This window comes from Homo sapiens, chromosome 1 (assembly GCF_000001405.40).
Source record: "Homo sapiens chromosome 1, GRCh38.p14 Primary Assembly".
In the NCBI taxonomy this organism is placed as follows: Eukaryota; Metazoa; Chordata; class Mammalia; order Primates; family Hominidae; genus Homo; species Homo sapiens.
Genome location: NC_000001.11, coordinates 169,625,736 through 169,638,364, shown reverse-complemented (window position 1 = coordinate 169,638,364; position 12,629 = coordinate 169,625,736). Strand labels below are relative to the sequence as shown.

Below are 12,629 nucleotides of genomic sequence, written 5' to 3'. Positions count from 1 at the left end.
AGCCTTCCTGAGTAGCTGGGATTACAGGCATGTGCCACCACGCCTGGAAAATTTTGTATTTTTAGTAGAGACGGGGTTTCTCCATGTTGGTCAGGCTGGTCTCAAACTCCTGACCTCAGATGATCCGCCCGCCTCGGCCTCCCAAAGTGCTGGCATTACAGGCGTGAGCCACAGTGCTGAGCCAAGGATTCCCTTCTTTTTAAAGACTCAGTAGTATTTCATTGTGTGTATATACCACTTTTTTTTGAAAGCCGTTTGTCCATTGACAGACACCTAGGTTCATTTCATATTTTGGCTATTGTGAATAATGCTGCAAAAAACATGGGAGTTTAGCATTTCTTTGACATACTGATTTCATTTTTTTTTTTTGGCTACATACCCAGTGGTGGGATTGTGTCATATGGAGGAAACTCCATACCATTTTCCATAATGGCTCTACCAATTCGCATTCCCAGCAACAGTGTGCAGTGGTCCCTTTTCTTTGCATCCTTACCAACACTTGTTATCTTTCATCTTTTTATTTTTTTTTTTGAGACAGAGTCTCGCTCTGTCACCCAGTCTGGAGTACAGTGGTGCAATTTTGACTCACTGCAAGCTGCAAGCTCTGCCTCCCAGGTTCACGCCATTCTCCTGCCTCAGCCTCCTGAGTAGCTGGGACTACAGGCACCCTCCGCCACGCGTGGCTAATTTTTTTGTATTTTTAATAGAGACGTGGTTTCACTGCGTTAGCCAGGATGGTCTCAATCTCCTGACCTCGTGATCCGCCAGCCTCGGCCTCCCAAAGTGCTGGGATTACAGGCATAAGCCGCTGCACCCAGCCTTTCATCTTTTTTATAGTAGTCATTCTAACAGGTATGAGGTAATATCTCATTGTGGTTGTAATTTGCATTTCCCTGATGATTAGTCAAATATTTTAAATATACCTGTTGGCCATTTATATGTCTTATTTGGAGAAATGTCTATTCAGGTTCTTTGCCCATTTTTAAATTGAGTTATATGTGTGTGTGTGTGTGTGTACGCGAGTGTGTGTGTGCATTTTGCAATTGAGTTTCTTACATATTTTGCATATTAATCTTCTATCAGATACATGGTTTGTAAATATTTTCTTCAGCTCCATAGGTTGTCTCTTCACTCTGTCAATTGTTTCCTTTGCTTTGGAAAAAGCTTTTTAGTTTGAAGTTATCCCATTTGTTTATTTTTGCTTTTGTTGCCTGTGCTTTTGTGGTCATATACAAAGTCGTTGCCAAGATTAATGTCATGGAGCTTTTTTTTTTTTTTTTTTTTTGAGACGGAGTCTTGCTCTGTCGCCCAGGCTGGAGTGCAGTGGCGTGATCTCGGCTCACTGCAAGCTGTCATGGAGCTTTTTATGTGTGTTTTCTTCTAATCGTTTTATAGTTTCAGGACTTATATTTAAGTCTTTAATCCATTTTCCTTTGATTTATGTATGTGAGACAAGAATCCAATTTCAAGCTTCTTTATATAGATATCCAGTTTTCCCAATATCATTTATTAAAGAGACCCTCCTTTCACCATTGAATGTTCTTGGCATCTTTATCAAAAATCAATTGACTGTAAATGCATGAATCTATTCCTTATCTTTCTACTATGTTTCATTGGTCTAAGTATCTATTTTTATGCCAGTATGCTGTTTGAATTACTATAGCTTTGTAGTATATTTTGAAATCAGGCAGTGTGCTGCTTCTAGCTTTGTTCTTTTTGCTTAAGATTGCTTTGGCTATTCAGGATTTTTTTGTGGTTCTATATGAATTTCAAGATTGTTATTTTTTATTTCTCTGAAAAATGCCATTGAAATTTTGATAGGAATTACATTGAATCTGCAGACTGCTTTGGGTAGTATAGACATTTTAACAATATTAATTTTTCAAATTCATAAATATGGGATATCTTTCAATTCCTTTGTCTTCTTCAATTTGTTTCATGGTTTTCAGTATATAGATCTTTTATCTTTTTGGTTAAATTTATTCCTAAGTGTGTTTTTTTGTAGCTGGTATAATGAGATTATTTTCTTAATTTCTTTTTCAGATAGTTTGTTGTTAGTGTATGAGAAACACTGCTGATTTTTGCATGTTGATTTTGTATCCTGTAACTATACTAAATTCATTTATTAGTTCTAAAAGTTTTTTTTTATGAAGTCTTTAGGGTTTTCTACATATAAGATCATGTTTTAGGGTTTTCTATATATAAGATCATGTTGTCTGAAATCATAGACAAGTTCTTGTGATTTGGATGTCTTTTATTTCTTTCTCTTGCCCAATTACTCTGGCTTGGATTTCCAGTACTGTGCTGCATAGAAGTGGCAAAAGTGAATATCCTTGCCTTGCTCCTGATCTTACAGGAAAAGCTTTCAACCTTTCACTATTGACTATAATGTTAGCTGTGGGCTTATGTATATGGCCTTTATTTTGTTGAAGTTACTTTCTTTCCACACCTGAGGGTATTATTCCTTCCTATTGCCTGAGGGCACTATTCCTTCTTTACCAATTGTTATCATAAAATTATGGTAAAATTTGTCAAATGCTTTTTCTGCATATATTGAGATGATTATATGGCTTTTGTCCTTCATTCTGCTAATGTGTGTATCACATTTATAGATTTTCTTATGTTGAACCATCCTTGCATCCCAGGGGTAAATTACACATGATCATGGTGAATAATCCTTTTAATGTGATGTTGTTGCTTTGTAGTTACTGTGAGACTTAGATAAAACATATAATAGTTATAACAGGCTATTTTAAGCTGATAAAATTTAACTTCAAGGATAAAAAAACTCCACACTTTTACTCTCCCTCCACATTTTATAGGTTTTTAATATTTTTCAGACTTTATGCTTTTGATGTTATAATTTACATCTTTTATATTGTGTATCTGTTAACTTATTGTGGTTATAATTATTTTTAATAGTTTTGTCTTTTAACCTTCATTCTAAAGATATAAGTGATTTATACAGCACAATTATAATATTGGAAAATTCTGAATTTGACTGTATTTTTATTTTTACCTGTGACTTTTATACTTTCGTAGATTTTCATGTAATTAATTAACATCCCTTTCTTTCAGCTTGAAGAATTCCCTTTAACATTTCTTGTAAGGCAGGTCTCGTGTTGATGAACTACCTCAGCTTTTATTTGTTTGGGAAAGTCTTTATCTCTTCTTTATTTCTGAAGGATGGGACTCTTGGTTGGCAGTTTTTTCTCTTTCAACACTTTGAATATATCATCTCACTCTCTCTGGGCCTAGAAGCATTCTGCTGAGAAATCTTGTGATAGCCTTATTGCAATTCTTGTCTGTGATATGCTTCTTTTCTCTTGCTGATTTTAGGATCCTGTCTTTGTCTTTGATTTTTGATAGTTTGATTATTATGTCTTGGTGTAGTCTTTTTTGGATTGAACCTGACTGGAGATTTTTAAGCTTCCTGTACCTGAATATTAATATTTTATTTCAGATTTGGGAAATTTTCAGCTAGCAATCTTTAAATATGCTTTCTGACCCCCTTTTCCTCTATTTTCTCCTTCTTAAACTACTGTAATGTGAACATTAGCTCTCTTTTTTAATTTTTAATTTAATTTTTGTTTTTATTTTTTGAGATGCAGTCTCACTCTGTCACCCAGGCTGGAGTGCAGTGGCATGATCTCAGCTCACTGCAACCTTTGCCTTCTAGGTTGAAGAGATTCTGCTGCCTCAGTCTCCCCAGTAGCTGGGATTACAGGCATGTGCCACAATCCCTGGCTAATTTTTTTGTATTTTTAGTAGAGACTGGGTTTCACCATGTTGGTCAGGCTGGTCTTGACTCCTGACCTCAGGTGATCCACTCACCTTGGCCTCCCAAAGCGCTGGGATTATGGCATGAGCCACTGAGTCTGGCTGAATGTTAGCTCTCTTGATGCTGTCCCATAAATCTTGTAGGCTTTCATCATTTCTTTTCATTCTTTTTTCTCCTCTCACTGTATATTTTCAAAAACCTGTCTTCAGTTCACAGATTCTTTCTTCTGCTTGATCAAGTCTGCTACTGGTGATTTCTACTGCATTTCTCACTTCATTCATTATATTTTTCAGCTCCAATTTCTTTTATGATTTCAATCTTTCTGTTACATTTCTTATGTTGTGCATTTATTGTTTCTCTGATTTCACCAAATTGTTTCTCTGTGTTTGCTTCAAAGTAACTGAGCTTCTTTAAAAACAATTATCTTGAATCCATTGTCAGGCCATTTGTAGTACTCCATTTCTTTTGGGTCAGCTACTGGGAAATTATTGTGTTTCTTAGGTGGTGATATTTTAATTTGGGTTTTCATGTTTCTTGCTGCCTTACACTGCTGTCTGAGCATCTGGTGGATCTGCCCCAATTTCAGGCTGTATGGGCTGACTTTGGTGGAGAAATACCTTCTTATGTGGAATAATGCGAGGATGCTGGCTGGGTGGGATGCAAAAGTTCTGACTTCAGTAGGGGCAAAGCTGTGTGGTCTCCATGCAGATCTGTCAGCTGAGGTTGGTGTTAGTGAATACTACAGGGATCCTTAGAGGCCAACACTGTGGGTATCTACAGTGGCAATGAGGCTGTTGAGGTTTTCAATTGTGACAAGTCCTCCATATCTCTTTTTTTCCCCACCTGGGAAGTCATGACTGAGGACATCCCTCTTGGAATTAGGTCTAACTTGCAGGCCTGCTCCTGGTGGTGGTGACACTGGTGTCTGATGAACAGTGCCCATGGAGTGGCCAAGAGCCAAGGCCTGAAGCATGGGCATGCATGGAGGGACCACAGCACCAGATTCAATTGTAGCAATGGTACCAGTGCCCAAGGCACAGGCATACTTACTATCACATTGATAATGGTGTGTAAAATGCAGGTACTTATAAAGCAGCTAAGGAGCCAGGGACTTTACTGCATGCATACGCAGAGCTACAGTGGCTCCAGGATCCAGGGTGTGGGCTAGCTCTCCTTGGTGGCTGAGCTGGTGACTAGAGCATGGACAGGCACAGAGAAACCTTGACTCTAGGACCCAGGGTGTTCACTAGCTCACTATAGTGGTGGCTCTGGTGTTGGAGGTGTGGGTGTGTGTAGTACAGCCTCAGAGACAGGGTCTGGAGCGCAGGTGTGCACATTACTACAGCAGCTCTGGAGTTGAGAATATGGGTTACCTTTCTACAGTGGCTGAACTAGTGTCTGGAGCAAAGACTTTCACAGAGAGAACTTGGCTTGGGGTCCCAGGGTGAGATCTAGTTCACAACAGCAGTGACTCCAGTGTCTGAGACATGAGGAGGTGCACTGCAGCCACAGAGCCACAGTCCAGAGTGTGAATATCTGTAGAGCAGCCACAACTTTTGGGGATCAGGAACACACATAGACTTGTGAGAGGTGGTAACCCTGGCCCCAGTCCTGGGGCAGTGCAACAATAGCTGCTTCTTGGTGAGGGGGTGTGAGGGGTAGTGCAACTGTGTTTCCCTTTTTAGCATCCTGCTATGGGAATGGCTGTTGGATAAAAGATGCCAGTGTCCTCTGTGGAGCAGGACACTGGGGGCCTCAGTGGCTCTGTGTCACATGACTGACACAGATAGCCTACAAATTTCTTTATTCGTAGCTATCTCCTGGTGTCTCATATATGCCAGTCTCACCGGTGATTCTTCTACATGGATATTCTTTCTTTTCTCCATTGTGTTGTTCCAAATTCTTTAACAGGCTCTTGAGCCCCATCCCCCAACTCCCCACCCTTGTGAGGGCTATTTTGGTTTGTGTATAACTGTCTATGTTTGTTTTTTTGTTGGGGCATAAGGCTGACATCTCCTACTCCACCATCTTGCTAATGTCACCTGCATAGGAATCTTTTTATGCTTTCCTTATATTCACTAAAATTTAACAATATCAAACTTAAAAACATATGATCAATTGAACTTATTAATATCAAACTTATTATAAATAAGAAACTACCAGGCTGGGCATGGTGGCTCATGCCTGTAATCCCAACATTTTGGGAGGCTGAGGTGAAAGGATCACTTGAGCCCAGGAATTCAAGACCAGCCTGGGAAATATAGAGAGACCCTATCTCTAGAGATTTTTTTTTTTAATTAGCCAGTAGTGATGGCACACATCTATAGTCCCAGCTACTCAGGAGGCTGAGGTGGGAGAATTGCTTGAGCCCAGGAGGTCAAGGCTGGAGCAAGCAGTAATCATGCCACTGCACTCCAGCCTGGGCCGCAGAGTGAGACCCTGTCTCAAAAAAAGAACCTACTAGTCTACATACCACACTTCCTCATCCCCATCTGAGACTATATATATTTTTTCTAACATGAGGCAATGCCAAAAAGAGGGGCTGGTGAGTGAAAGTAAGAACAGAAAGACATGGAGGCAAGTCTTATAGAATAATAGCCAACACTTAAACTTACACTTAACAGCGTGATAGGTATTGTTCCAAACACATTAAATTCATTTAATGGTCCTTACATGTCTATGTATTTGGTGATTATTATCCTTATTATTCACATTGCTGAGTGTATTATTCTGTTCTCATGATGCTGATAGAGACATACCCGAGACTGGATAACTTATTAAAAAAAAAAAGGTTTAATGGACTCACAGTTCCACGTGGATGGGGAGTCCTCACAATCATGGTAGAAAGCAAAAGACACGTCTTACATGGCAGCAGGGAAGAGAGAGAAATGAGAACCAAACAAAAGGGGTTTCCCCTTATAAAACCATCAGCTCTCATGCGACTTATTCACTACCATGAGAACAGTATGGGGGAAACCACCCCCATGATTCAATGATCTACCAGGTGCCTCCCACAACCTGTGGGAATTATGGGAGCTACAATTCCAGATGAGATTTGGGTGGGGACACAGCCAAACCACATCACTGAGGAAACTGAGTTATAGGGAGATTAGTAACGCCCAACACAGCTGGTAGGTGGTGGAGCCAGGCAGTCTGACTCTAGGGTCTGGACTCTGAACTGCATCATGCTGCCAAGAAGTTCCTCATTTTTTCCTCTCTCTAAGTTTCCCTTATTCCCCTACAGTCATTCCTTCAACAGCATTTCCTTCACCATCTTTTCTACTTCTACTATATAATTAATTTTTTCTTCTTGGTCCCAAATTCCAACGTGCAAATGCAGCCTTATATACCCTAATTCATCTTTACCTTTAGACTTTCTTCCAATGTTTCTACTTCATTCCATTTTAAATTTATCCATGAGATGCCTATTTACAAGCTGTAACCATCATGAAGTGAATGAAGAATAATACCTACTACTGTACAATAGAATTCCAAGAGTATAAATAGGAGTTATGGCTTTCTGACTTGAAACTAAATACTTGATACTTGATTTTGCTGTCTGAGATCAATCTGAAAAGTAATAATAATCACTAACATTTGTTGAGCATCAATTGTGGGCCAAGTGTCATTTCAATCACTCTGTACATATTAACTCATTTCATCCTACAACAACCCGGTGAGGCAAGTTCTGTTATTCTGTTTTACAGTTGAGGAAACAGAGGCATAGAGAGCTTAAGTAGTTTGCCCAGTAGATAGCCAGAAGAGGAGCCAGGATGGGTCTCGGGCAGTTTAACAGCACAGCTGAAGTCTTAACCACTATGCCAACAGCTTTTTGGTCCTACACATCCCATGGGAAGAGGAAAATAAAAAGGTATCTATTTGTATACCTTTTTATTTCTGATATAAGAAGCAGAATTCCTTTCACATGACCTATGTCTATTTAATACGTCATTTTGAAACTTACCAATAAAATTTCCCAAGCGCCAGAAAACTGTTAGTGGCTTTTTCCATTTCTCTCTATTTTTTTTTGTGCTACTAATTTTGCTTCTTTCCCTCAGAAGGCTGCCGGAATAGTAAACATTCACTGACATGTCATAATTACTGGAAAATGGGCACTGGAAAATCACATTGTAATTAATTCAAAGCATGTTTTCCAAATGTACTACTTTAAATTGGAGCTTATATCATAATCCAAGGAAACCTTTGTGTGTGTACTGTTCCCACATTGCTCAGCCTGGGATATCCAGGAGTAATTCACCTTGCGCCTGCCTCCAGACCATCTTCCATGGAAGGGGGTGACCCCTTGCCTCTTGGCAACCACTATTTCTAAGCTGCCAACATTACTCTTGCATTATCAACATTCTAACTTCATGGGAAGGGCTGTGGTGAGTTTCTGGAATGTGAATAGGAAGTTGTTTTTCTAAACAGCCTGACACTGAGGGGAGGCAGTGAGACTGTAAGCAGTCTGGGTTGGGCAGAAGGCAGAAAACCAGCAGAGTCACAGAGGAGATGGTGAGTTTATTTTTTTCTGCATGGGAAGTGGTTGAAGTGAGTTGGAGTGGTATGGAGTAAAGTCAGGCAGGTAAAGGTTCAGAAAGTGAGGAACAGCGATAGCCATGGAGTTTTATGTTGAATTGCCTATTAGATTTTGTGAGTACTTTTAAACTTGCTGTCCACTTTGACCCTCCCAACACCCTTGTGAGTTGAGGTTGCTATTTCTATTTTACAAATAAAGCCATCGTGGTTTACAGAGGCTGTGTTTTATCTAAGCTTCACTGTTAGGCTACATGATGTTGGGATCTGGGGCCTGTCCTCTGGCTCCGCAGCTGCTGTTCCTCCTACTAGAATTTATAGGGGCTCTCTGAGAATAGATCATGGTAAACCTGTCACCCCATTTTCCAAGACTGTACTTCTCTCTGGGATAAATGATGGAATAAATGGAAGACTGGGTAGGTGCCCTGGGACAAGCTTACAATTGAATAGTTTCTCATCCCCATCCCTCCCATTTCTTTCTGTGAGCCTATGAATCTTCTGGGACTGATCTGGAATATCCACATAGTTTCCTTTTCTGCCCTAAGACTCAATCTTGTTAATGACTCAGTTTCTTCTTCTATAAAATGGATATAGTAATAATACTCTATAGTTTCATCATGAGGATTAAATAAGATTTTGCTGAAAAGCATCCAGATCTGAGCCTGACACATAGTAAGTGATTAGTAAATGTTAGCCATTATTGTTACAATAAAAAGAAAATTCTTAGGAATAGTGGGGTTTAGGATTCAGGGAAGATCCAAGGATAGCTAGGCATTTTGAACTCAGCAATGTTATATGCTCATGGATAAGATGCACGTGGTTAGGCTACTTCTAATTCAGGGAAGATCCAAGGATAGCTAGGCATTTTGAACTCAGCAATGTTATATGCACCTAGATAAAATGCACATGGTTAAGCTACTTCCAATTTTCCTCAGACTTTCCAAGAGTATCCCACATAGTCCCAGGGTCCGAAATCCTGCAGTCTGTGGCTATGGAGGAACCAGGCAGGTCTCTGTTTTTGAGCACCTTTCTGTGGGACTCCAGAAAAAAGTACCGCATACACCTGATTCATCCTACTGCTTTGCTTTACTATAGCACACTTTTCAAGTACTTATAATGTGGGTTTCTGTGTTGGGGAAAACAGGAATAAGAGTATGATAAAGAGAAGAGGAAGGAGTTTGAGCCTGTCTTAAGTTTGAACCACAATGACCTAAGGATATGAATTACTTTTGTCCTGTCTTTTTGCATGTCATACTTCTGAATTGGTTAACTTAAATGAGCAGTTATTCCTCTCTTCCTTCTACTCTCCTTGGCATCCTCCTCTATTTCAAAGGTATGAACTTATTGGATCAGAGAGTTCTTTGAGATTTTGATGAAAGTTACAACTTGTCTTTCCCAGATGAAAGCAAAAACATCGACATAAACACCAACCTTTAGAGACAACCACAGGAGGTTCCCAGACCTCCATGTGGATCCCAGGGTAAGAACCCTTCTCGATTGCCTCCTGGGCTTTATGTTCAGAAGCCCCTCTCTTGGTACCCTGAAATTAGGCTTGAGCTCTACAGCGAAGTGCTAAGGCCCCAGCCCTGGAATGGTTTTTAATATTTCAAAGACAAGACCTCTTCCTTTTCCTCTGAGCACATTTGGCCCCAAAGATTCAGAAACCTCAAACTGCCTGTGTAAATTTTGCTTCAAGTTCAGAGAGTGGCTTTAATTAACTTTTAGGACCTGAGAAAATGAGGATAAGGTTTTTCTGGTGGGGTATTTTCAATCAGATAGATCTCAGAGGAGTAGCTCTTGATTGGGAACTTATAGTTAAATTGCACTGATGTTTGTCAAAGTTTTAGCGGGCTATGGCCGGGCTCAGTGGCTCATGCCTGTAATCCCAGCACTTTGGGAGGCCGAGGCGCATAGATCACTTGAAGTCGAGAGTTCAAGAGCAGCCTGGCCAACATGGTGAAACACCATATTTACTAAACTTACAAAAACTGGCTGGGCATGTTGGCATGTGCCTGTAATCCCAGCTACTCAGGAGGCTGAGGCAGGACAAACTCTTGAACCCAGGAGGTGGAGGTGGCAGTGAGTTGAGATCACACCACTGAACTCCAGCCTGGGTGACAGAGCAAGACTTGTCTCAAAAACAAAACAAAAAAAAAGTTTTAGTGGGCTAAGGAGCAGGTCTGGATTTTCGTCCATTTATACCTTTTAACCACCTTATGTGGCTTCCAGTCCTTACTCTTCTTTTCATTACCTGTTTTTCAAAATGCAACTAAAATAGTTCAGACTCTCCTGGGCTAGCCACCAGCTCTTAGAATGTGCATCTTCAGAGATCTTTAAGTAGAAGCTTATTGATCAAATCCTCAAAAATCAAAATGACTTACTACATAAAAAACTGTGTTTAGAAAAAACCCTGGACCTAAACCTAGAGAGTAGGCACACAGTGGTTTTATAAATGACATTCATTATATTGTCTTCAAGGTGTCTAATCTTTTTGATTAAAAAGTAAATCAGAAACTTCATGAAGTCAAATACAGAGCAAATCCTCACTATTTGTAGAGATATAACTCATCTCTGATCCAATAGACTTTTTAAAAAATTTTAAGTGTCGTACTTTATTTTTAATGCTAATATTTTACTCAAAATAATGGCAATTGGTAGTCTAAATTAAATATATGCTTGGATTCTAAGTGTTGATGTCCTGGGTCCCTTCTTGTCTATATTCATAATTTGCTCTTTGGCTTAGAGACAACCTCTTTTCTCACTGTATTTCTTTTTCCACCCCTAAGCTGGGCTACCAATATCTGTGCCACACCACTAACACCACCACCGTCCAGAAACATAAGGGAACTAATGTATTAGCTGTAATAGCTTGTAACATCTGGGCTTTGCTACCAACAAGTTGTATAGTTCTGCATCCTCAACAACTCTCATATTCACCTCCCCTATTTGCATTCCCACTGATGCCAGACCAAACCTGTCCCTCTTTAACTCTCACTGGGACCATTGCAATAGCCTCTTCTTTTGCAGTGCAATCTCCCTGATTGTAACTCATTTAAAAAAAAAAAAGTATCGCACTACTCTCACCCCTATAATATCAGCATTTTTGGAGGCCAAAGAAAAAGTATTGCTTGAGCCCAGGGGCTCCAGGCCAGCCTGGGCAATATAGTGAGAACTTATCTCTACAAAAAATTAGCCGGGTGTGGTGATGCATGCCTGTAGTCCCAGTTACTCAGGAGGCTGAGATGGGAAGATCACTTGAGGCCAGGAGGTGGAGGTTTCAGTGAACCCAGATCATGCCACTGCACTTCAGCCTGGGCAACAGAGCAAGACCCTGTCCCCCAGCCCCACAAAAAAAATCATACCACCATTAAGTGCATGTGTTCATGATACTTCTCTGTTCAGAAGTATCCCTTCTGCCAACTGGTATTTGTGACCCACAAGATATGGTCTCAAACTACCTTTTCAGTTAACCTCTAGGATCTCCCAATCTTCAGCAGGCTGGAGTGCAGTAGTGCCATCTCAGCTCACTGCAACCTCTGTCTCCTGGGTTCAAGCGATTCTCCTGTCTCAGCCTTCTGAGTAGCTGGGATTACAGGCATGCGCCACCATGCCCAGCTAATTTTTGTATTTTTTAGTGGAGTTGGTTTCGCCATGTTGGCAAGGCTGGTCTTGAACTTCTGACCTCAAGGGATCTGCCTGCCTTGGCCTCATAAAGTGTTGGGATTACAGATGTGAGCCACCGTGCCCAGCTTCCGTTGGCTTATCATTGCACTTAGAATAAAATCTCATCCCCTTGTTTTGGATCCCAAAGCCCGATGTGATCTGTCACTACCCCCGGCTCGTATTTTTCTCTCCATTGCTCATTCCATTCTGGCCACACTAATGTCTTCATGTTCTTTGAACACACTGCAGTTTGCTTCCACCTTAAGGCCTTTGAAATAGCTTTTTCTTCTTCCTTTAATGCTCTTCTTCCTGCTTCTCACTGGCTGGTTTCTTGCAGTCATTCTTCTCTCCACTTAAACATTATCTCATTAAAGAGGTCTTCCCTGACGTTCCTGACCAACATAGTGACACAGTCATTCTATCACATAAGTTTCATTTCCTACCTAGCACTTATGGCTATATTCTGTTAATATTTTTCATGTTTACTTGTTTAGTACTGTTGTGTAGTTATTAGTATTTGTTTCATTGTCTTCTCTACCAATAGAATGTGCATTCTATGAGGACTGGAATTATGTCTGTTTTCACCATTTTATTTGTTCACTTAGCTATTATCACTACTGTAAAAGTAATGCATTCAGTTATAATTATTATG

General features: G+C 40.2%; 1 protein-coding gene across 7 annotated transcripts in view; it reads left to right on the top strand.

The window, feature by feature from the left end:
- SELP (selectin P) overlaps positions 8,241-12,629 on the top strand; it is a 41,276-nt gene continuing 36,887 nt past the window's right edge. For all 7 annotated transcript variants that reach the window (XM_047427583.1, XM_005245440.3, XM_005245439.3 and 4 more), the window contains exon 1: positions 8,241-8,293. In XM_047427583.1, the coding sequence (XP_047283539.1) occupies positions 8,291-8,293 (3 nt within the window). In that variant the 5' untranslated portion in view covers positions 8,241-8,290. The remainder of the gene's footprint in view (positions 8,294-12,629) is intronic.